Genomic DNA, 25,529 nt, shown 5'->3' on the forward strand with positions numbered 1-25,529 from the left:
CTCACATCTTCCACTGTGCCAACAGTCTTGCTGCAGTTCATAGACCTTCTGGTTTACATTTTTCCAGAAAGTATGTCTTTAGATTTCTGCAGAAGTCTGAGGAGCATGGAAGGAGCTTGGGGAATGAGATGGCAATCCAGGTCTTCCCAGATGGCTCTACCTTTATCCCCTGCAGGGAATCCCACTCCTCCTTCCTGACTGGGAGCACAGCCAGAGCCTTGGGAGGAATCTGGAGTGGAAATCTCGGGCGGTCTGGCTTTCTTACTGTTCACTTGTAATTTTGCTTTCTCACAACTGCCAACCACTAATCAGCCTGATTTCCAGCTTCCAGAATTCTATTGCTGTTGTCTGCTCTCCTATTCCCACCGTAGGGGATGGGGCTGTCTTTTTTTTTTTTTTTAATTTTGGTAAAACATACAAAACATAAAGTGTTCCATTTTAGCCATTTTTAGGTACACAGTTCAGTGGCAGTAAGTACATTCACGTTGTGTGTATTTGTTTTTTTAGTAATAAACAATATAAAATTTTTTAAGTAATAAAACACAAATAAAAGATTGTTTAATGTGATTATCGTGGAATTTTAGGTGTGATCAGGAGCCATGGTGTAGTCTTCTGTTGAAACAGGGTGATAGGATTTGTTTACCACCTCCTAGGAAAGCAGTTGGATAGTTTGTTGGCATAAAAGTACATTTTATCTATTTTTAATAATCGTAGCTTTATAGAAATTGCAGTTGGAACTCCCAGGCCTGGCATTCAAGGCTCTCTGAGATCTGGGCTACCCACCCATGTCCTCCAGCCGTCTGTCGCACCTCCTACTGCCCACTCACTGTTCCTGGCATGAGATGTGATCTCCAGCCCCCATGCCTTTGCTGTGCAGGGTGTTCCAGAGTGAATTGTCCCTCCTGTCTGTCTCTCTGCCCTCTTCCTCGTCTTTCCATCTTCCTGCCCCACATCACTGCCTCCTACCCAAGGCCTGTGCTCATTCCTCCTCGGTTTTCCCCCATGGCCTGGTACATACCTCTGAATTATCACCTTGCATTTCCCATATTGCCCGGCTCTCTTTGATGTCTGTTTCTTTGCTGGGTCTTCCTCAGTGTCTGACGGTCAGTTAAATGTCTTTATTCTTTTTTGTAGGATATCCGACATGAAGCCAGTGACTTCCCATGTAGAGTGGCCAAGCTTCCTAAGAACAAAAACCGAAATAGGTACAGAGACGTCAGTCCCTGTAAGTATCCACGTGGCCGGTACCAGTCTTGCTCTTCCTTTGCTGCAGGCCTTTTTAGTCAAGACTCCTTTCGCCTCAGGGTTTAGTATAATAATAAATCAATGTAGCAGAGGTTTATGACGCGATTGTTTCCTATAGTAAAGGCATTAGAGACTTATAGTAATAGCTCATTTTTCCACCATTATAGAAGGGCTCAGGTTTCAGTTTCTGGAAAATTCAGTGAAGTTCAAAGCACTTTTCTTAAGCTTTGACTGTTTTTGTGATGAATCATTTTCCTACCAGCTGAAGCAGAGTATAGCAGGCATAATAAAACCTTTTCTGGATGACTCAGCAGCAGCGTCATTAGGGCATGAGCACTGTGTTCCGCTGTAATGAAGCCCCGCACAGGCATTCGGGGTGGGCACTGTCGTCCCCTGCGCTGAATATGCAAGGCAGCTCTGTCTGGAGTCCCCACCGCCTCCACCCCCGCCAACCTCATCATTTTTCTCCCTCTTTCCTGCTGTTAGTTCTTCCTAGGATTGTCAGTGTGCCTGCTGGCCTGTGGCAGCCCTGTCCGCCTTCTGAGTGATTGGCTGTCAGTCTGCCGGTAGCTGAAAAGTAAATAACTTAACATGTTAGAATTTGCATAAAGTAAGGAAAACTGGAGCTGAGTACAGGACTTGAACTGCGCCATCTCCTCTAGGCCACAGAGGCCTTTTTGACCCCCTTCCAGGTCTTTAGACATTGTCAGGCAGTGAGGGGTCGTAGCTGCCAGTGTCTCCATGGTAGCGTGCTCTGCCAGGGATGCAGAAGATTCTCCAGTCATTCCTCCAGTGGGCACTTCCTGCAGGTCCTGTGCCCATGGCTGGGAGTGGTGGCTGTCATTGTTCTCTGCCAGAAGGGTTAGCAGTGCATCCTGACCTGACTTATGTGGCGCCCAGATTCCTGGAAGGGGTCTAAAAATGGACCTAGACTTGGTGTAGAACGTGTGCCTCTTGGCCTGCCACCATGGTTCCCTGCCTGGTTTTGTGTGTCAGCTCTGCCGCTTAAGAACTGAGTGGCTTCGGGCAAGTTGTTCTCTCTCATAGGAGTGTGTGAAGATGAAGCAACATAAGCTGCTTAGCCCAGCGCCCAGTACCTCACGCAGACATAAGTGCTCAGTAAATGTTGTCTGTGGTGGGGATGGTTGTCACCAACATCTGAAGTGCACTTCTAGGTCATCAGGTGACATGATTGGCGCCAACACATGGTACTCTTGATTTAGCACATCTCAGCTGAGGCACCTCATTGATATTTGTTTAAAAACAAAAACAAAAAACCTTGGTGATTCTGCTGTGAAGTCCTGGCCAGAAACCTCCAGACCGCTGATCAACACGCAACAGAACCATCACCGTTCACCTCTTTGACATGGTGCCAGGATACCCTGGATCTCTAGCTTTTGCTATAGTTGCTCTAATTAGGGAATAATCTTGTCTTTAATATTCCTTTGCTACATTTTTTAACATTTCTTATCTAAATGGTTTTATGAATCAGTTTTACAGAGAAAAAAAACCAGTATTTAAAATATTCTTCCAGGGGCTGGTCCAAGTACAGTAGTGTTTACAACTATGTGATCACAACCAGTTACAGATTTCTTTGTTCCTTCTCCATCCCCACTGCTTTACTTGACTAGCCAAAAAAAAAAAAAAAAAAAGTTATTCCAGGGAAACAATTCTCCAACTTTTTCACTCCCAATCTCACTCCTCTTATCTTCCTCCCGTACTCCTATCCTCCTCCCGTACTCCTATCCTCCTCCCCTACTCCTATCCTCCAGTAGAAACAGTCATTTGCTGTGAAGGTTATGGGGGAGAATGAGTCAAGGTAGAAGGTCACCTGCTGCCCAGCTCACAGTGCTGCTGGTGATGACAGCAGTCCACAGTTACAGGCACTTGCTGAACGAGGGGCTCTGTATACACCTCAGCTCATTGACTCTTCCCACAACCCTCTTGTCACCTACCATTTAGCAAATGAAAAAACCAAGGCTCTGAGGTGAGTTGTTTGCCCAGAGTCACCCAGTGCTGTTTGAACCCACTCACATAACCAACCAATACCATTATGTAATTTTTGAGGTCTTTTATCTCTGTGATCCACTTAAAAATTATCCAAGTATCTTTATTTGTACTAAGCCTCCATAATGAGAAACAGTGTTCCAGATGGTGGCTAGTTTTCAAAGACATCTCTCTTTGGAATTCTTCTTTAGAACAAAAAGCCCCAGACCACTTATCCCCATTCATATCCCCTTTGGACCTAGGGAGAAGGTACTATTTATAGGTGATCACCTGAGTTTATTGTCCCTTGTGCTGTGCCAGAAATAAAGGTCCCCACCTGCTCTTATTAGCTCTACTAACAGGATAAGGAAAGTGGCCCTCAGAGAGCTACTGCTTTTGTGACAAACAAATGATACAAGAAAAAAAAAGTGGCTTTTTAATTTTAGTGACCTGGGGCAGGACTTCCAAATGAAAGTTTATTTCTAAAAACTAAAAGGTAAATTTAATATACTTTCAGTGTTTGGGCTTAAATTCTCTTTCAAGTGTCTTTGTGATATGCTCTGAATTTTAAAAATTTAGAATCATTGAAGTTCATTATACTTGAACTTTAAAAAAAAAAAACAAAAACCTCGTATAAAGGTCAAGGTATGACTTCATGCTGCTGTGTACTTAGGTCATTTAATCTTCAAACCACTGGATAGAGGTTAGGTTGAAGTTCGATCTTAAATCCTACCTACTGTAGCTCATTGTACCAGCAACAGCTGTAGGGACTAGGTGGAATTCATGGTGGGTTTTGTTCCCTTTTAAAGATTGAAGCCACCATATTTTCTGCCCTCTAAAAGTTTATGTCAGCCAGGCATGGGTGGCTCACACTTGTAATCCCAGCACTTTGGGGAGGCTGAGGTGGGTGGATCACTTGAGGCCAGGAGTTCGAGACCAGCCTGGCCAACATGGTGAAACCCCATCTCTACTAAAAATAGAAAAATTAGGTGAGCATGGTGGCCTGCGCCTGTAATCCCAGCTACTCGGGAGGCTGAGGCAGGAGAAACATTTGAATCCGGGAGATGGAGGCTGCAGTGAGCTGAGAACATGCCACTGCACTCCAGCCTGGGTGACAGAGTGAGACTCTTGACTCAAAAAAAAAAGTTATGCATCAGAGAACAGATCCTTTGATGCCCTCCTCTGCCCTGAAAGGTTTTTGGGGGAGAGTAATAAGTATCACAACAAGATATGACCTGAGAACAGATTTCCCAGATAGGACATGATCCATGTTTTAATATGGCTTACTGCTGTTGCTTCATAGTGTGAAGCTTCAGACACTTCTGAAAACCCTTTCAGAAAATCCCAGTCGCCCCATACTGATGACTAATCTCAACTAAAACAGGGCTTCAGCCAGTGTGAATGCCACTAATGCCACCAACTCACCTTTGCTTTTCTGTAGGGTGTGCACCTGTATGTACACATTCAGCTTTTCCGGGATTAACCTCTGAGTTCTGGTTTGTCTTTCAGTTGACCATAGTCGGATTAAACTACATCAAGAAGATAATGACTATATCAACGCTAGTTTGATAAAAATGGAAGAAGCCCAAAGGAGTTACATTCTTACCCAGGTAAGCAGATTGTCTGAATTTTCTATTTAATGTCAATTTAAGAGTTTGAGAGTGCTGTTATCCACACCTCAAATAAAATCTGCCACATCCTTTAGAAGGTCAGGATTTCAGCATACCAAAAAGCAGCAAGGAAGGGGGAAAAATCATCCTTCAAAGGTTCAGTTTGGTTATAAGGAACGCTAATCTTTTCTGGGAAGCATAAGATGACATTGCTGGAAATGAGAGCTTATAGAAAACAACATTAAAATGCCAGAGTTGCCTGTGTGGTCTGTTGGCAGAGACAGCAGAGCCATGGCTGGAGGAGGGTCTGTACCTGTGTTGCTTCCAGAAGTATTTGTCGTAGAGCACTTGTGATGGCAAATCTAAGAACGTTAGCAGTAGACCAGGAATCTCTGTCCAGAGCCATTCAGAGTAGCTCAGCATGGTTCTCATTCTTTGGCCAGAAGAAAGGCATCATTGGATCATGTGAACAAGCATGAAAAATGACTTAAAATTTCTGTTGGCTTTTGGCATCTTTATGGAAACAAAATCCTGAAAGTGGTTTAATAATTGAGCCTCTTGTAAAACACTCAGTGGCATGTGACCAAAAGGGTATCTGGGAAAGAGGATAAAAAGAGTTTCTTTTTAATTAATCTTCTCAAGTCTTAACTTGTTACCTGTAAGTTGGTCTAAAAAGACTGGGTTTCTTATTTTGTTTTTCATCATAATTTTTGTTTCTCATTCCATGTCAGCTTTCAGTCTTATATGGCTTTAGGCCACAGGGCGATTTTGAACATTTGTAATTTTGCTTAATAATTAGGAAATTAAAATTCTGGGGAAGACAGAATGCTCTATGAAGAAAGGCTGCTTTGAGCAAGGAGCTAGGTCAGGGCGCGTTCAACTGAGGCCTTTCTTCACTGCCTTTTTGTCTTGTCCCAGTTCCTCCCCATTTATGACTAAAATCAGCCCAGATGCTTCTCGTCATCTGGGATGCAGAGCATCAGCCCAGCTGTGTTCAGTCCTATGGGGCCATTGAGTAAGTTCTTGGTGCATGGATACAGGGCAGGCCTTTACCAGGCCCTGAGCCCCTGGTCCTCCCAGCACCTCTGGGGTATTTAGGGGAGGCTGATGGGGGAGGGGGTTGATAAGGCGGGAGATGTCTGGGGATGAGGTTGAGGCAAAAGTGACTTCTTGAGGACTTTGCTTTTTGGAGAAGTCAAATTTCCTACTTCTTGATTTCAGCCCTTCAACTCTGGTATGGAGTCAGGAAGCCCTTTAAATACCTGTTGTCGGGTGTATCATGTCAAGTGTTGCATTAGCAAATGACCATGTATCCTTGTGCTACTGTCCTGCCTACCCCGCATCCTAGCGCTTCCTTGGGACATGAGAAGCTCTGTCTGGTTTGTGAGGTGGCACTGGGGATGTTGAGAAACTGTTTACACAGTTTCCCTTTGCCCTGGGGATTTACTAAAGGAGTCGAGGCAGCCTGACCCCAAAGCATCACCCCTGGACACTATGACCGAAACATTTCCCCAGTGCCCAAACCAAGAACACCCTTCCCATTTTTTTTTCAGTGGTGTTCATTATGTAATAATACAAGTCTCTCTTCTCATTTTTTAAAAGTCAGAAGTACAGAAGAGCAGAGAATAATGTCCAAGGGGCCCTCCTTCACCTCCCCCGTGCAGTGTCAGCTAAGTGTGGTGCGTGTCCTTGCAGATCTTAGGGGATTGTGATCCTTCAGACCATTCTAAACTGGGGTGGTGCTGGGAGTTAGGGAAGGCATGAAGGGAGTAGTGGAGAGCTGCAGTGACTGGGGTCTTCATGCCAGGGTGGAGAATGCAAGGCCCAGGTGGCCAGCCATGTGCCACGGGATTTCTGGCTGCCAAGAGCTGTTTATCTGTTCACTGGGGAGGGAAGAGTTAAATGTGGTCTGCTTTTCTCCGAGTCCCTTCAGCACAGGGAGTGCTGACTTGTCTTGTTCAGGTAGTAAGTTCAAGATGAGCTCAGGAAAGAAAGTGAGAGGACACTGAGGGCTAGTGGTTGAGCCAAGTGTGATGGGACTTAAAGGGAGAAGATTTAAAGAATAAGGAGCTTATGGGCCGGGGACGGTGGCTTACGCCTGTAATCCCAGCACTTTGGGAGGCTGAAGCAGGTGGATCACTTGGGTCAGGAGTTCGAGGCCAGCCTGGCCAACATGGTGAAACCCCGTCTCTACTAAAAATACAGAAATTAGCTGGGTGTGGTAGTGTGCACCTGTAATCCCAGCTACTTGGGAGGCTGAGACAGGAGAATCGCTTGAGCCCAGGAGGCAGAGGTTGCAGTGAGCCAGGATTGCGCCCCTGTACTCCAGCCTGGGTGATGGAGCGAGACTCTGCCTCAAAAAAAATTAAAAAAAAATAAAGAGGTTAGGTGAAAATAGATGAGAATGGAAACCATGAGAAGAAGTGATGCTGGCCAAGGACATGACAGGTTCTGATGTGGAGGTGATAGGCAATGTCTCTTCCAGCCACTGCTAATAATTGAGACAAACTCAAGGCATTCATACCCTGTGTCCAGTAAACATCTGTGCCCATTGCCAGGTGAGCTGGATTGAAATGGGCCAGCTGCTCAGCAGACACCCTCATGCCCCAGTGACTCTGTTCCCCTTGGGCCACCTCATTGACCATTTATGTTTCTACATCTCCTAAGTTTGTTGGGCCAAGGATGGAGGCTGTCTGCCGTCAGGGTCCTCATTGCTGATGGTAGGAATAGTTGCTGATGTTTCATTGGATGTTGCTGTATTCTAGGGACTGTGCTAAGTACTTTATAGAAATGAACATACTTCATTTTCACAGTTTTATGAATAGGGACTATTATTAGTCAAGTAAGCGATGGGGAAACTGGGGCAGGGAGCGATGAAGTGACTTGCGCAAGGTCACAAGATGATGTGATTGGAACCAAGAGAAGTGTTGTGGTTGGCCACGCCCCCACACTGCCTCTCATCTGCACCAAGGAGTTTTGTCCCATAGCCCAAGGGCCTTGGGGACGAATCTCAGTGGAGGCCCTTAGCGGGCCTGCCTGAGCCAGAAAGCAGAATCGGCATTTTTCTGTCCTTGGTTGGCCCAGCCCTGAACTGAGATGCGGAAATCGCCTTTCGCTGCCTGGTAGAAAATGGAGCTGCAGTTACTGACCACCAGGCAGAGAGAGGTGGGTCCCTGTCCCAGCCTCAGCCACCACTCTGCCTAAGCTGTGGGGACTGAGGGCGCTGTCGTTAGCTGACTGCAGAAGGTGAGCACACGCTGTAGCATGTTATGTTTCAGATGTCACATGTTGTGTTATTGTGTCTTTGCAGGGCCCTTTGCCTAACACATGCGGTCACTTTTGGGAGATGGTGTGGGAGCAGAAAAGCAGGGGTGTCGTCATGCTCAACAGAGTGATGGAGAAAGGTTCGGTAAGTCTCGGCTTCATTTGCTGTGTATGTGATCATGCATACCACTCCATATAGTTACCATTTTCGTCCAGATTTTTAAATTATTTTTCTTGCCTTTGTATTTCCTTTACGTAGTATTTTTATTTAAAAAAATTAAAACAGCAGCATATAAATGCATGTTGGTTGTCAACCAGTTAATGAAGTGAATAAAAGGGAGGAGGCGGAAGAACTGCACGGACCTCTTCGCCCCCGCCTTCTCCTGTGTGGTGCGTGTGGCGCTCCGCCCACCTGTGCTGCCTGTGCGGCTCTCATCACAGTGTGGAGTTGTGTGTGGAGTTATGGAGACCTGCTTTTATCTTGAAAAGCAAGTTCTTAGTGCATCTTCATGGTGTCTGATTTTTTGGCTGGTGAGAGTGTGGCTACCTCTGCGGAGCTGTGGGAGCGGCTGACTAGATGAGATTTGCCTCCATTCAGTACCTAGACTCTTGCCCTGCCACACCTCTTCGGAGTGAGCATTGACTTCAGGATGTGTGTCATTCTAAGTTCCTGCAACTTTTCAAACACCCCTCGGGCTAGCGTGTGGCTGCACGGTGTCCATTTGTGCAGGCCACCACTCCTCTTGCATCTGGGTCTAGCCACCTCTCCTTCTTGACTTACCATAGTTCATTTTGTACCATGCTTTCAGAATGAGCTTTCTCAAATCCAAGTCTCACCACGGTTCTTCCCAGCTGAAAACCCTTGTGCGGTTCCCTTTGCCTCACAGGATAATACATGGTGTGGCTTACGGAACCCTGCAGGTCTGGCCCTAGGCCCCTGGACACAGACCTCTCACCACTCTTGGAACTTTAGCCAGGACAAAGTTTTCTGTTTTTAGTTTCTTACCATGTTCTCTGGGCCGAGGAGTCCCAGTGCCCACGTTCATCCCACTTGCAGGCACCCCTGGACGGCTGCCCCCAGCTCCCCAACTGCCTGCATTCTCCCCTGCCCTCCTCACTCTGTTGGAATAGCTGAGAATAGCCGATTTCTGGGCAGCCGGCCTCCTGTGTAGACTGTCCTGTGTAGACTGTCCTGTGTAGATTGTCTGTGTAGACTGTCCTGTGTAGATTGTCTGTGTAGACTGTCCTGTGTAGACTGTCCATGTAAACTGTCCTGTGTAGATTGTCTGTGTAGACTGTCCTGTGTAGACTGTCCTGTGTAGATTGTCTGTGTAGACTGTCTCTGTAGACCGTCGTGTATAGACTGTCCTGTGTAGACTGTCTCTGTAGACCGTCGTGTATAGACTGTCCTGTGTAGACTGTCTCTGTAGACCGTCCTGTGTAGATTGTCTGTGTAGACCATCCTGTGTAGACCATCCCATTTAGACCATCTGCCTGTGCAGGCGCAGGCCAGTGTTCAGCAGGGCCACAGGCTCCTCGGCCTCCCTGCCCTCGCTGCTCCCCAACACTGCCAACCCTGCTGCGGGGTCCAGGAGGAGATGGGCTGAGGATCGTGGAGACCAGCAGGAGCGTGTGGCCCAGGAGCAGGGAACTGGGTGTCCTTGGGCCTTGCCAGGTCCAGGCTCAGCTAGGACACGGCTCTCACAGCTGTCCTGGTTGCCTCCGGCCACAGAAGAAGGTGAGGGCTCCAGAGAGGCCACCTTTCCAAAAAAAGCACAGTCATGGCCCTAGAATGTAAAAAATCCAAGTGTTAAGAAGGAACACATCAAAGGAAACTTCAGCAGTGAAAACTTGAAGCATTAACCACGAAGCCTCTGCCTCCACCACACACAAAGAAACGGCTTTAGTTACTCGCAGAAAGTCTTCCTCTTAGGACAGCGCGTGTTTAAAATCATAGGGGTTTGGTTTGTTTTGTTTTGGGGTTGGGGTTTTTTGGGGGTTTTTTACCCTTGCCTACTTTTTAAAAAATGAAAGTGTTTATTTGCCCAACAATAACAGACAGGGAGCTTGCCTAAGTGTTCTGTTGATGATATAATGTATCTTGTCTTAGAAAAAAACTTTTTCAGTGAAAGGTGGTTTTTAAATTTTTTCTTCCCTCCTTAGTAGCTTGATTAGTAAAATGTGAAGTTACAAATGTGAAGCAAACCCCCACCCTTCACCACTAGTCAGCAATTTTGAGTAAAGAAACAAAGCATCAGGTGCTCACAGCACACACTGTCTTAGAGGGAAGGGGAAGCCTGGTGGCCTGTGGAAGCCTTCAGCATAGCTCCATCTGCAGGCTTCTGACCCTCAGCACTACTGACACTTGGGCTGGATCATTGTCTGCTAGGGATCCGGGCAGGGAGTGGCTGTGCTGGGCGCTGTAGGAAGTTTAGCAGCATCTCTGGCCTCTATCCACCAGATGCCAGTAGCACCCCCTCCCCAGATGTGGCAGTCAGATGTGTTTCTGTCTAGACTCCAGACTTTGTCCAACGTCCCCTGGTAGGCCAAATTGCCCCCGGTTGAGAACCACCGCTCTAGATGGTATTGAGGGTTGGGAATTTTAAATCAAGACATTTATTCAGAAATTACCAGATATAGTAGCATTTGCTTCTTATTTATTTCTTTGTTGCTAAGTGTTTGGCAAAACCTCTTTGCTGTGAGCACAAGGTTTGCTTTAGCAATTGTTGTCACATTACAGCAAGGAGTGGTGTCCAGCGCTGTAGTTATGTATTTGAGCAGTGTCCAGTGCTGTAGTTATGTGTTCCAGCCTCACCAGGCCCTGTGCTTCATTGTCTCCCACTCAAGACTGACCACAAATGGCCCACAGATCCACTGTGACAACCTTTCCCTTTGGGTTACTGTGGTGGCATCGAGAACATGGCTGGTTGGCTTTGCTGTAGTTTACTGTGATAACTGTGCCAGCAGTCCCTGCTTTCCTTTGTTAAGTATCCCATTCCACTGGAGGATTACTTGGGCGTGCAGATTGGCATGAAAAGCAATGTATGGTTTGAGATTGTTAAAGTTTCTTTGGGATCAACATTTTCAATTCTGTATCAGCATTATCCCTCCCAGAGGGCTGGCTGGGAGAAATCATGAGAAGTTACAGTATCTTATTTGCTCAGCTAATCTAATTATAAATGATCCACACAGCTTGTGGTAAAACCAGCTTTTGGGGAGTTTTCATTTAATGCATACTTGTCTTCTGATTTCCTTCCTTCACCAAATAGTGTAGGATGCTCCCTCTTATTTTTGGCAAACATGCCTGTTATCTTTTGGGACCCTGGGCTTCCTGGAAACCAGTTATGCAGAAGATGATTGTGTGTGTTAGACTGGGGTCATCCAGATGGCTAGAGTTCTCACTGGTTCTGTTTAAGGATTGACTTTAGACACCTCAGTGTAGGCTGCACCATGGCGTAAGGGTTGGGATTGTTGTTTAGAAGGGGGAAGTAAGCAAGGTGAGTTTAATTGGCCATTGCAGAATCTCACCCGTATCTCCCTCCTGAAATCCTCACTAAAGCTGCCGTTTGCTTTCAGGTGCTTTCATGCACAAGACACTGCATTTTGTATCACAGGGTCCATATAATTCATTTTTCTCTCGTACTTAGTTCTCTGTGTTAAGAATTACTTACTTAGTTCTCTGTGTTAATAATTTTTGGCGAAACCAAATTACCCGTCACAGGGTTACTGTAGATGTCTTTCATAGGTTTTCCAAACACCACTTGCCCACTTGTTTGGGAAGGCCCCAAGGACTGTTTAACATCTGCCTTCATGGTGGAAACAGCAACTATGAGAGATGCTAGCATGTTGGCACTGCCATGTTCCTCTGGTACCAGCCCAAGATAGGACTCAATTTGAGGCCTGGTGAAGTACTGTGTTCTAATAAAAATCCATCTACTTTTCATGGCCGTATATATCAATGTAATAGGGTAACTGGAAATGTGATCTTGTGCCTTTTAAAAATTTTGTGTGTTTAAAACAAAAATTTCTATTGGAAATGACAGAGCATAGCTTGTTGCTGTAGACACCTGAGAGTCCTTAAAAATAAATATTGGGTTATTGACACTTAGTTGCATGACAGAATTCCTCACTTGTACAGTTCCAAAGTCTTAGTCTTTACCCAGATTACAGAGGGTTATTAAGCATTAGGTTTGGTTTTGAAAGTGAGTGCTTGCTGTCTGGAGGTGAGCTTTAAGACTCGTCTGCCCTGCTTATGAGATGAGGAAGGGTGGCCTCTTCCTCCTGCATTTCTGTTCTTCGCTTCCTTCTCTGTCTGCTCACTCTGTGGAATGCCCACCCCAGCACGGGTGGGGTGGAACCTGTCAGATCAGTCTCTTGTTTCTGGGGTCTTGAGGCATTATAAGATCTAGTTGTTAGAAGTGTGGGATTAATTCATCTTTTCACATTCTTCTAAGTTCCTGCTTTTAGCTGCCACACCCACTTTGGCTAAGTGGGGGTCTTGCCATGTAATTAGCGCCTCCATGCCAAGTGGCAGAATTGCTTCAATGGTGACAGATTGTCCCCATTCAAGAGTTCACTTTTGGCAACTCATCATTGATCCAGGAAGGTGACATGGATGAAACTGGCTAAGACTTCAGACAGGCTTGTGTCCAGACTCTTGAGAAAGCTCTGTTGGCTTCTGGTCTGGCACTGTGAAGTTTGCTGTGATGCTGGCACCACAACCTGGTGTTTCCTAATTTGTTTCTCCCACATTTTGCTTTGGTTTTGTCTTTTGGGCAGCTTCCAGCTCCAGTAGAGCAGGACCAATAGGCATTTGTGGTTCTATATTCACCCTCCTCACGTGCTTCCTGGCTCCTCATTGCCCCCAGATGATGCCACAGGTCCCTGGGCCTGCTGCCAGTCGTCTGTGATCTGGGCCTCTGCTGGCCCCTTCTCCAGCTGCTCTTTTCAGCCTCTTATTTGCAGTCACTGCCTAGGAAATCCTAGTCATCCTTCAAAACCTGCCTCTTGCACAGAGCTTTCTCTGATCTCTCTTTTCTGTAACCTTGGCTGACCTGAAACATTTCCCTCTTCTGAATTCCTGCTGCATGTCCGTAGCATTTCCCCCTCAGCCCTCCCCCATAGTCCACCTTGTCACTGCTGGGCACAGCAGTGTCTTCTGACAGACAGCTGGCCCTGAAGTGGTTCCCTTCACCCACACCATCCTTTGCCCCAGAGGAGGTATTGAGTGGGTCAGTGCACGTGAACTGCCAGTGTCATTTGCCAAAGAGCTGTTGACACACGCTGACATTTCTTTTGCTGAAAATCATAAGGGCTTTGAGCTTCCCTCTGTCCAGGCACATGGTCAGGCTGACCCGGTAGCTCTGCCCCTGCTGACCTGCCATTTTTGTCCACAACAGTTATCCATGAGCAGAAACATTTGTGTAACTGAGGCAGAAACTTAGTTCAAGTAAAATGTCACTAAATTCGAGTCAGTTTTTGTCTTAGACCCTAAATGAAACCAAATTTTCATAAATTTTCTTGTTTTAAAGAAAAATTTAATGAGCTACATTTAAACTGAGAACATCAGATAGTGTCTGAGATTATCAAAATAGAACATCAAAAGTATTTTTCTGAATGAACTGAACCAAACCAGAATGAAAGGGCAAGCCCTGGGGAGCCTGTCTCCAAGCCTTCTCTGAAAGGGAGTCTGTATTTGGTGATAACTGCTCAGCCTCTCCAAAGGGCCTCACCTGCTGTCTCTCCCAGTTTTATTTTTAATTGCCTGTGAGTTTTCTGTGCAGGGTAAGGCACCTACATTCTATGCCAGCAGCCTGATCAGGTCCTGGGTAATGTTTGAAATGGCTACACAGAGGAGTTTCAAAGCCTTTTGTTCAATCTGGCTTCACCTCGTAGACGGTGAGAAAGCGTCAGAGCCCTGCAGGATCCCGTTGCCACGTTTGACCGGGGAGCCGATGGGTTTGGAAGTCTGAGCCCTGTCTGCACAACCTGCCCCGGTCAGCAGCTTCGTGCCCCCACCCCCATCTCCCCATGAGGCAGGCATCTGTGCTGACCATGGCTTCCATGTTCAGAAACCCCCAGGCCTTTGAGTTATCATGAAGCTTGTGGGATGTGCTCCAAGCCTCCTGCCATAGAAAAACTGCCATATTGCTCACAATAATTCACTATTATTTGTTTCCCCAGTTAAAATGCGCACAATACTGGCCACAAAAAGAAGAAAAAGAGATGATCTTTGAAGACACAAATTTGAAATTAACATTGATCTCTGAAGATATCAAGTCATATTATACAGTGCGACAGCTAGAATTGGAAAACCTTACAGTGAGTATAGCACACACTTCAGCACTTCAGGCGGCTACTGGTTCACATGCCTCTTCCTTTATCCCTTGGGTGATATTACCTAATGTCAGTGTTCCTGGCTTTTGTATACCCCGAGCAAGATGTGGTTTGGGCACTGTGGTGAGCGGAGCTTACTTGTGTACCTACCAAGTGCCCAGGGAGGGTGGAGGCCACAGTGCTCTCTCTGACCTTTAACAACAGTTAACACCAGTTCTTAGGGAAAGGAGAGTTTCTTACCCAAAAGACTGGTTCCTGCTTGTGCAGCTGCAGAGGGACTGGAGCGGCAGCCTGCAAGTCCCAGTGAAGCATGCTGCCTTCTTTGTGGTCCTCAGTCTTCGAGTCTGAAGAGAGGGAAGAAGGGGTATAGGGGCTCACTCCAGTTTCATAGCTAGTGAAAGTTTTCTGGGCCAGGTCTTGGGTTTTTTTGTTGTGGGAAGAGTTTATAACACCAGCTACTTGCTTGGTAAAAGTTGGTCTTGGAACATGGCAAGGCATTGTGGCAAGCAGCACTGCCGCTGAACGCGCTGCTCCTGGGGCTTTGGAATAATTCCCCTGGATCCGTAACTTGGGGGTGTTCATGTCATTCTGGGGAACAGTGGAGGGAGTGCGCGGCAGCACCTGGGGGCACCAGTGAAGAGTGGCCAGCCACCAACCTCTAGAACCTAACTGGGGTCGAATCCTGGCCCCACCTTACTAGCTCATCACAGTGTCTCCGTTTCCTCTTCTGTCAAACTCAGGTTTTGCGAGGGTTCTGGGAGGTCCTATACGGGAAGGGTTAGCAGTTACCATGGGTGTGTAGCACGGGCTTTATCTGAAGGGAAGGTGGAGCCGTAGGGAGACCATGTGGAGTGGGGCTCCAGGGCTGTGTGGGTGGGGAGGGATCTGCTTCTGGGTTACCCCATGCCTCCCCTTCTCAAGTACTACTTTTTAATCATCATGGCTCCTGCCATTCATTTCATAGTTGATGTAAGCCAGGTGCGGTGGCTCACGTCTTTAATCCCAGCACTTGGGGAGGCTGAGGCCAGGAGGATCACTCGAGGCCAGGAGTTCAAGACCAGCTTGGGCAACATAGTGAGACCCCCGTCTCTACAAAAAAACAAAAACAGTTAGTCAGACATCGTGGTGCTCCCCTATAGTCCAGCTACTCAGGAGGCTGAGGCAGGAGGATTGCTTGTGCCCGGGAGTTCAAGGCTGCAGTGAGCTATGCTTGCACCACTGCACTCTAGCCTGGGTGACAGAGCAAGACCCTGTCTCAAAAATAAATAAATAAAAAAAATAGTAGAAGTAAGATCTAGAATGTAGCACAGGTTACCAGGACGTAGGCAAGGGGTTCGGGCTGCCTGGCTCTTGAGGATGGTAGCAGTGCAGCTGATGTGAGTGCTTTCTGCCCTCTGGTGGTGACCGCGCCGGAGTCACCAGCCCTGCCATAGCCCTGATGGGGCAGAGGGTTCTGAGTACGGTGGATGGAGGTGCTTTCTGGAAGATTCTCAGGAGTAACATGGGCAGTGTGTTGGAATGTGCTAGAGGATTTATGCAGTAGCCTTTTAAAAGAATGCTTTTTAGCATTTGCAAGCCTGACATTAAGAGTGACTTCTGGGAAACTATTTGCTTGTTGAGGGAAACTGAATTTCAACAGAGCAGAAGAGCTGTGCGCTTTTTGCTTGGCAGAGTGAATACAGCCAGCTCAGAGGTTTTGATGTTAGGATCTGTTTGCTCCAACAGACTTTGTTTTTAAAAGGCTTTTCTCAGCCATAGCTGTCTGTTCTAGCACAAGGCTGGAATGAGTTCCTTGTGAAAGAGGTGAGCAGGTGTGAGGGAGGGTGTCAGTGGGCGGTAACCCACACCTTCAAGGATTAAAGGAAAACTTGCATTTGGCATGCTTGCTTCTTATTCAATTTTAAAATACATTTTAACGGCCGGGCACGGTGGCTAACACCTGTAATCCCAGCACTTTGAGGGGCTGAGGTGGGTGGTTCACGAGGCCAGGGGTTCAAGACCAGCCTGGCCAAGATGGTGAAACCCCATCTCTACTAAAAATACAAAAAAAAAAAAAATTAGCCGGGCGTGGTGGCGGGCACCTGTAATCCCAGCTACTCGGGAGGCTGAGGCAGAGAATTGCTTGAACCCAGGAGGCGGAGGTTGCATTGAGCCGAGATCATGCCACTGCATTCCAGCCTGGGCGGCAGAGCAAGACTCTGTCTCAAAATAATAATAATAATTTTTTAAAAATACATTTTAAGTCCTTTTCTTCCCCACCTGCCTCCACCCACCAAATAGAAGAGGTATTTCTTCTTCTTTAATGTCATTAAGGTTATATGGATACCATTTTCTAGAGAGGAAAGAATGATGGAATTGCCTAGTGTGAGTCTAGCAATTATCCTAACATACACAAATTTCTCCTTGTTCTGTGCCAAGATACTGTATTTAATATTTAATGAACATTAAATATTATTTACTAGTGTATTTAATGGCTGAGGCAGGGTTAAATATGTATTATTTTCATCCCAGCAGAGTTGGGGGAGGTCCTAGTAACTATGCCATGAGCTCTGTGAGGGTGAGGTGGTGTCTTTGCCCCCGCCTCCCTGGCACAGTGACTGGCACATGATTGGCATAGTGTGGACATTCGTCAAGTGAAGGAAGGCATCATGAGCAGATCTCTGGCCTGAATCCTTCTGCCATCAGCTGCTCGCCAGGTGGCCCTGGCACTGGGCCACAGGGAAACTCTCCAGGCTGGTATGGTTCCTGTCTGTGGCTGTCTTCCCGGGCCCATGTTAGGAGACTTTCACTTCCAGAGCCCTTTCCCTCTCAGGGCCTTGCTTACCAAGTGACTGGTTCCCATTTACTAGGAGCTCTTAGGTCATTGAAGATGTTGCGTACTCCCCCCAGTGAGGGCTGCCTTTTGATCACAGCCGCCAGAAGCCTCAAGGAAGGAGCAGAGCTGGAAACAGACGCCAGGCCATTGCTTCTGTTCCTCTGGGGCAGACCCAGCCACGGAAGAGACATTCTGGGACAAGGGCTGGGGTCCACCTTTCAAACGTGTCTGCAGCAGGCTCTCAGCATGGACTCTCTGCCTCCAAACATCCACCTCCTCATCGGAAAATGGATGGGAGTGCCTGCCTGGAGCAGCTGGTGGGAGAGCGCAGCGCCAGCACGTAGGACACACTCGGTTCATGGGCTGATGCCGTTCGCATTGACTGCCTCTTCAGCTGGGTGTTGAGCCACACCTTGGAGTCACCAGTCTTTGGAGACCAAGTCTGCTACTTTTTTCTCTAAAGTGACAATCCTCTGAAACCTCCAGATCATCTTGAAGCCCCCGTCTGAAAGTTGCCCAGAGCCAGTGCCTCACCTGCTGTTCCTTGTTCACTTTTTCACGGGAGGCCTTGCAGGGCTTTATGACAAGATTTTATGGGTGGCTGCCCAGCATCATTGTGACTCGTGAGACAGAGAGAAACCAGTTGTAACCATGTAGACAGTGGAAGTGATAGGGAGAAAAGAGGTGAGGGGACTCTTCAATCCGAAGGGAAATGAAGTCTAAGCAGGCGCACCCTGCAGGTTCAGTGTCAAGCCCAGGGCCTGGCCCCAGGGTGTGGTATTTGTTGACTGGGTGTGTGGACCCTGGGAGAAAGTCTGAGAATGAATGTTCCTCTTAGAGGTAGAGAGTGGAAGGTGACTCTGTGTGTACTTGGAATTAGTGATTTCTGTACAGATGATTCTTTTAGAATCATCATGAGTATTTTTCTCTTTCAGACCCAAGAAACTCGAGAGATCTTACATTTCCACTATACCACATGGCCTGACTTTGGAGTCCCTGAATCACCAGCCTCATTCTTGAACTTTCTTTTCAAAGTCCGAGAGTCAGGGTCACTCAGCCCGGAGCACGGGCCCGTTGTGGTGCACTGCAGTGCAGGCATCGGCAGGTCTGGAACCTTCTGTCTGGCTGATACCTGCCTCTTGCTGGTAAGGAGGCCCTCGCGGGTGCCCTGGGGAGCTCCTCTACCTGCTCTGCTGTGATGTTTTTTCCTAAGTAGAAACTGAAGCGCTCCTCTTCCAAAATACAGAGACTCACTGTGTTAGTCTGTTTTTGCGTTACTAATAAAGGCGTACCTGAGACTCGGTAATTTGTAAAGAAAAGAGGTTTAACTGGCTCCCGGTTCTGCAGGCTGTACAAGCATGGCACCAGCATCTGCTCGGCTCCTGGGGAGGCCTCAGGGAGCTTCCAGTCATGGTGGAAGGTGAAGGGGAGCAGGAGCAAGAGATGGGGGAGGTCCCAGACTCTTAACCAGCTCTCTTGTGAATGCATTGCCTCAGGGAGGGCACCAAGCCTTTCATGAGGGACCTGTCCCCCTGACCCAGACACCTCCCACCCAGCCCCACCTCCAACACTAGGGATCACATTTCAGCATGAGATTGGGAGGGGACAGACATCTAACGGTGTTATTAACGTTGCCCTTGAGAATTGGACCTGGCTGACTTATATCTCCTCTCTGGCTTTCAGATGGACAAGAGGAAAGACCCTTCTTCCGTTGATATCAAGAAAGTGCTGTTAGAAATGAGGAAGTTTCGGATGGGGCTGATCCAGACAGCCGACCAGCTGCGCTTCTCCTACCTGGCTGTGATCGAAGGTGCCAAATTCATCATGGGGGACTCTTCCGTGCAGGTCAGCATTGCCTTTGTTTGAATCCAGGTGTGACCATTTTAACTTTTTTGTCTTTGAAGGAGGCTGTCAGTTGTAAAAGTTCAAACACCGTCTGGTGTCAGGGGAAATAGCTACCCTTCATGTTTAAAATAGCTAGAAAGTTGTCAAAATGTTCACCATGTTGCACTTTGTGCCTTTGAAGTGCTCACATAGAGAGCATTGATAGGAAGACGAGACTTTATTTTCAAAAGATTTCATCTTCCAAGTACATGGCTGCAGCCCTGAGAGGCCGAGAGCCCCTCGCCAAGCCGTCACCTCTGCTCATGCAAAGGGATTTCCTGACAAACCAGCCGAAGTGAACACTAATAGGACTTCCTCTTGCTGCTCTTTCAAGGATCAGTGGAAGGAGCTTTCCCACGAGGACCTGGAGCCCCCACCCGAGCATATCCCCCCACCTCCCCGGCCACCCAAACGAATCCTGGAGCCACACAATGGGAAATGCAGGGAGTTCTTCCCAAATCACCAGTGGGTGAAGGAAGAGACCCAGGAGGATAAAGACTGCCCCATCAAGGAAGAAAAAGGAAGCCCCTTAAATGCCGCACCCTACGGCATCGAAAGGTAATATGATTGGGTCCCAGCTTGTTGGGGTGAGGGGAAATGACTTTCTGTTCTAGAAACACACGCTGGTACTGAAACCCTGTGGATGCAGCCTCCTGTTGGCAAGCAGCGCTTCCGCATCCTTGGGGAACAGGGCGCGTGGACCACAGCCACTCCACTCCTGGCTGCTGGAGGTCCGGTATTGGGCACAGGGTGGCCGCAGGACATGAGCCACTTCTGTGGGCTTCTAGTGCCACCTTGTGGTGCTTGTTGGAATGAGGGGCTCGGAGCCACCGAGTAGGGTTTTTCTGCCCCCCCTGACGACAGCGCCCTCCCCCAGGTTTCCGGACAGTCCTGAAATGTGATGTCCAGGCTTGAGTGCCCTCAGTCCCCACAGTGGTCCTTTGGGGAATGTAACCTTTTTTATGTGGTCTTGATTAAATCCCATTTTACTTCCTTGCAGGTTAACAACCATTATTGAGTACCTATTGATATGTGTGGTGTACTGAGTTAACTAGAACATGTCCCCTGGTCTGTGTTCTAGACCATCTTGCTGGGAAAAAGGCAGACCCAAAGCATATTTTGGTGGGGGCCCATGGACAGTGATGTGATAGAGGTGTCCGCTGAGGTGGTCAGGGAAGGCTGCTTGCAGTAGGTGGCCGTGCACGGAAAGTTTGCAGAATGAGCAGGTGTTAGTTCCAGCTGGAGATGACTGCCGGCTGTGCCCTTGGTACCTGCTTTCTGGAGGGAAGTTTTAAGACGTGTGCATACTTGACCCAGCAGTTGTATACATGGAGAAATTTACTTTGCAGCAACTCTCAAAACAAGCGTGTAAAGATGTGTATAGGTAGTTGTGTTTGTTGTGGCATTGTTTGTAGTAGTGAAAAATTAGAGACAGGCCAATGATATAACCAGGGACCTGATCAATTATGTTCTCTCCCGGTGTTGGGATATTCTGTAGCTCTTAAAGAATGAGATCTGGGTGTACTGATGTGGCCAGACATTGCAATTGCAGTACATGAGAAGGCAAATCATACAGTAGTGTGTACACCAGTGAGTCCTCCAGCCAGATAAATCCTCACAGTGACCAGTCGCCCAGGCACCTTGTGAACCCTACCCTGGGTGTGGGTGCTATCTGAAGTACCTGGGGGAGGGGGTGACAAGTGGACTTCAGGCTGATGTGGGCCCTGGCCTGGCCCTCCCTCCAAGCAGAGGGGGCTGGCTCGCTGGAAGGTTAACATCATCCAACTCTGTCTACACGTGGCTTGTTTTTTCCTAGAATTCCTGCCACAATAGCAGCATCCTTGCCATTCATTTTCTCCAAAGTGAGTAACCCATCTCTGCCCTCTGATTCCTCAGCATGAGTCAAGACACTGAAGTTAGAAGTCGGGTCGTGGGGGGAAGTCTTCGAGGTGCCCAGGCTGCCTCCCCAGCCAAAGGGGAGCCGTCACTGCCCGAGAAGGACGAGGACCATGCACTGAGTTACTGGAAGCCCTTCCTGGTCAACATGTGCGTGGCTACGGTCCTCACGGCCGGCGCTTACCTCTGCTACAGGGTATGTTTCCACTGACAGACGCGCTGGCGAGATGCTCGTGTGCAGAGAGCACTGGCCGCTAGCCCGATGGTAGGATTCAGTTCTGTGGTGCATCTGAGCCAGTCTCAGAAGAAACAGATCAAAGGTTTTTAAAGTCTGGAACTGTGGAAGGGCTAACAAGAGAATTAAGGATCGATGCACTGGGGTTTTAAGGAGCCCTCTGGTCCCAAGAATATAAGAGTCTAATCTCAGGGCCTTAACCTATTCAGGAGTAAGTAGAGAAAATGCCAAATACGTCTGTTTCTCTCTCTCTTTTTTTTTTTATTCCTTTGTTTTTGGAAAAAAATAGAGTTACAACACATTGTTGTTTTTAACCTTTATAAAAAGCAGCTTTTTGTTATTTCTGGAACAAAAAAAAACAAAGTAGGCACTTATGAAACTTTCTCATACCCTTAGGTGATGTAATCAGCCATATAATTTATATTTGATTTCCCAGGGAAGGAATCCCAAACTTTTACGAATGTAAACTCCCTTGGAGAAGAGGGTTAGGACGCTGTTGCGCTCAAGCCCCCCTCAGCTGTGTGCACACTGAGCCAGGACAGGGTCTTTGAGCTTTCCCACTATAAGAAGAACAGCAACAAAAGGCCGTCTAGAAAAACAGAACCTGCCTCTGCTTCTGCTCAGGGTGTCCCCGCTGGGTTTCCATTGTCCTTTCTCCATTGCTCCCTCCTGTGACAGCCATCTTGCTCATGTACCAGCCCTCATCACCCCATCCCCATAAATGGGTGTCCTCGAGGCCTCTGCCTGGGGGTCAGAGGTCACCACAGGGTGGCCATTGGCATGTCAACCCGCTGTTAATTCAGAGAAGTGGGCTCCACCTCATTGGGAGAAGTGCCATTTCAGCAGAAATTCACACGTTAGACGTGTGTTGCTGTTAAGTAAGGGGAAGAGAGAGGACTAGCCTCAGAGCTCTGGCCATGGAAATGACCTCCTAAGACTTTTTCGTGGTTTTAAATATTTTACCTCTTTCCAGGTGGCATCTGAGTACATCAGATGGTTTTGCAAAATGCAAACAATTTTTTCCTTGGGGATGATTTTTGGGGAGAGGGGGCTACTGTAAAAAATAAAACCAAAACCCCCTTTGCTCCCTCGGAGGTTGAAGTTGCCGGGGGGTGTGGCCGGGGTCATGCATGAGGCGACAGCTCTGCAGGTGCGGGTCTGGGCTCATCTGAACTGTTTGGTTTCATTCCAGTTCCTGTTCAACAGCAACACATAGCCTGACCCTCCTCCACTCCACCTCCACCCACTGTCCGCCTCTGCCCGCAGAGCCCACGCCCGACTAGCAGGCATGCCGCGGTAGGTAAGGGCCGCCGGACCGCGTAGAGAGCCGGGCCCCGGACGGACGTTGGTTCTGCACTAAAACCCATCTTCCCCGGATGTGTGTCTCACCCCTCATCCTTTTACTTTTTGCCCCTTCCACTTTGAGTACCAAATCCACAAGCCATTTTTTGAGGAGAGTGAAAGAGAGTACCATGCTGGCGGCGCAGAGGGAAGGGGCCTACACCCGTCTTGGGGCTCGCCCCACCCAGGGCTCCCTCCTGGAGCATCCCAGGCGGGCGGCACGCCAACAGCCCCCCCCTTGAATCTGCAGGGAGCAACTCTCCACTCCATATTTATTTAAACAATTTTTTCCCCAAAGGCATCCATAGTGCACTAGCATTTTCTTGAACCAATAATGTATTAAAATTTTTTGATGTCAGCCTTGCATCAAGGGCTTTATCAAAAAGTACAATAATAAATCCTCAGGTAGTACTGGGAATGGAAGGCTTTGCCATGGGCCTGCTGCGTCAGACCAGTACTGGGAAGGAGGACGGTTGTAAGCAGTTGTTATTTAGTGATATTGTGGGTAACGTGAGAAGATAGAACAATGCTATAATATATAATGAACACGTGGGTATTTAATAAGAAACATGATGTGAGATTACTTTGTCCCGCTTATTCTCCTCCCTGTTATCTGCTAGATCTAGTTCTCAATCACTGCTCCCCCGTGTGTATTAGAATGCATGTAAGGTCTTCTTGTGTCCTGATGAAAAATATGTGCTTGAAATGAGAAACTTTGATCTCTGCTTACTAATGTGCCCCATGTCCAAGTCCAACCTGCCTGTGCATGACCTGATCATTACATGGCTGTGGTTCCTAAGCCTGTTGCTGAAGTCATTGTCGCTCAGCAATAGGGTGCAGTTTTCCAGGAATAGGCATTTGCCTAATTCCTGGCATGACACTCTAGTGACTTCCTGGTGAGGCCCAGCCTGTCCTGGTACAGCAGGGTCTTGCTGTAACTCAGACATTCCAAGGGTATGGGAAGCCATATTCACACCTCACGCTCTGGACATGATTTAGGGAAGCAGGGACACCCCCCGCCCCCCACCTTTGGGATCAGCCTCCGCCATTCCAAGTCAACACTCTTCTTGAGCAGACCGTGATTTGGAAGAGAGGCACCTGCTGGAAACCACACTTCTTGAAACAGCCTGGGTGACGGTCCTTTAGGCAGCCTGCCGCCGTCTCTGTCCCGGTTCACCTTGCCGAGAGAGGCGCGTCTGCCCCACCCTCAAACCCTGTGGGGCCTGATGGTGCTCACGACTCTTCCTGCAAAGGGAACTGAAGACCTCCACATTAAGTGGCTTTTTAACATGAAAAACACGGCAGCTGTAGCTCCCGAGCTACTCTCTTGCCAGCATTTTCACATTTTGCCTTTCTCGTGGTAGAAGCCAGTACAGAGAAATTCTGTGGTGGGAACATTCGAGGTGTCACCCTGCAGAGCTATGGTGAGGTGTGGATAAGGCTTAGGTGCCAGGCTGTAAGCATTCTGAGCTGGGCTTGTTGTTTTTAAGTCCTGTATATGTATGTAGTAGTTTGGGTGTGTATATATAGTAGCATTTCAAAATGGACGTACTGGTTTAACCTCCTATCCTTGGAGAGCAGCTGGCTCTCCACCTTGTTACACATTATGTTAGAGAGGTAGCGAGCTGCTCTGCTATATGCCTTAAGCCAATATTTACTCATCAGGTCATTATTTTTTACAATGGCCATGGAATAAACCATTTTTACAAAAATAAAAACAAAAAAAGCAAGGTGTTTTGGTATAATACCTTTTCAGGTGTGTGTGGATACGTGGCTGCATGACCGGGTGGGTGGGGGGGAGTGTCTCAGGGTCTTCTGTGACCTCACAGAACTGTCAGACTGTACAGTTTTCCAACTTGCCATATTCATGATGGGTTTGCATTTTAGCTGCAACAATAAAATTTTTTTCTAAAGAACATGAATTTGGGGTGCTTCCCATTTTTTTCTTTGCTTAATAGAGCTAAACCAGGATGAGTAACTCCTGTTTCTTTCTATCCCTGCTGATGTGAAACAGATGTTGTCAATCAGCTGGGGTTAGAGTTTTCCACTTCTAAGAATTAACCTCAGCATCCCTGCATTGCCAGCACCCTCAGGCTGGAGCGCTTTCCTTGACTGTGAGCTTGTTGAACACCTTAGGCCTCAGCCCATTTCCTTCCCAAATTGACGCTTTGCCTGTGTAGGGCCCTCAGATAACTTAACAAACTTACCAGTGTTGTTTGAAGAACAGTGTTTTGAGTTGTAATCTCAAAACCATATCCCTTACCCAATTACCTGTAAGACACAATGGTTACCACATCTCAGTACGTAAAGTCCACTTGATATAGAATTGACTTAGAAATAAGACAGATTAGTATAGTTTTTCATTTGTGTACAAAATTAAACAATGTAAATTCCCCCCAAAGTGATTTTTTTGACTTTTTGAAGTAATTTTGGACTTGCAAAATGTTGCCAAAATAGTACGAAGAGTTCCCCAGTACCCTCGAAGTTTCCTCGACTGTTTCAAAGCTGGCTGCAGGCCCAGGCTCATGAGACTGGGAAGAGGACAGGCTGTGGTCATGTGGACCCACAGGGGCCTGGGGCTGCAGAAGTCAGTGTGGCTTCCACCATTTCAGGTATAAAAAAGGGCATCTAAGCTTTCAAGAAGAGGGAGGATGCTCTAGGGCAGCGGTCCCCAACCTTTTCTGGCACCAGGAACCGGTTCCATGGAAGACAATTTTTTCACAGGCCTGGGGGTGGTGAGGGATGGTTTTGGGATAGAAACTTCCACCTCAGATCATCAGGCATCAGATTCTCATAAGGAGCTTGCAACCTGATCTCTTGCACACATTCAGTTCACAATAGGGTTCACGCTCCTAAGAGAACCTGATGCTGCAGCTGATCTAACAGGAGATGGAGCTCAGGTGGTCATGCTCAGTCG

General features: G+C 47.6%; 1 protein-coding gene across 2 annotated transcripts in view, besides 1 other annotated feature; it reads left to right on the forward strand.

The window, feature by feature from the left end:
* PTPN1 (protein tyrosine phosphatase non-receptor type 1) overlaps nt 1-25,013 on the forward strand; it is a 74,859-nt gene extending 49,846 nt beyond the window's left edge. The window contains exons 2-10 of one of the 2 annotated variants that reach the window (NM_002827.4): nt 1,135-1,225; nt 4,741-4,841; nt 8,152-8,250; nt 14,289-14,426; nt 18,192-18,401; nt 18,940-19,101; nt 19,475-19,698; nt 21,037-21,232; nt 22,464-25,013. In NM_002827.4, coding sequence (NP_002818.1) covers nt 1,135-1,225; nt 4,741-4,841; nt 8,152-8,250; nt 14,289-14,426; nt 18,192-18,401; nt 18,940-19,101; nt 19,475-19,698; nt 21,037-21,232; nt 22,464-22,487 — 1,245 coding nt within the window. In that variant the 3' untranslated portion in view covers nt 22,488-25,013. The remainder of the gene's footprint in view (nt 1-1,134; nt 1,226-4,740; nt 4,842-8,151; nt 8,251-14,288; nt 14,427-18,191; nt 18,402-18,939; nt 19,102-19,474; nt 19,699-21,036; nt 21,233-22,463) is intronic. The other variant, NM_001278618.2, reaches the window with a different exon arrangement.
* Nucleotides 845-2,044: an enhancer, noted in NCBI's record as "MED14-independent group 3 enhancer chr20:49177610-49178809 (GRCh37/hg19 assembly coordinates)". NCBI's record gives its function as "activates an origin of replication core promoter dependent on BRD2, BRD4, P300/CBP and CDK7 cofactors, and independent of MED14, by STARR-seq in HCT116 cells {active_cell/tissue: HCT116}" and the evidence as "EXISTENCE:reporter gene assay evidence [ECO:0000049][PMID:35650434]".

The sequence above is a fragment of the Homo sapiens genome, chromosome 20 (assembly GCF_000001405.40).
Source record: "Homo sapiens chromosome 20, GRCh38.p14 Primary Assembly".
In the NCBI taxonomy this organism is placed as follows: Eukaryota; Metazoa; Chordata; class Mammalia; order Primates; family Hominidae; genus Homo; species Homo sapiens.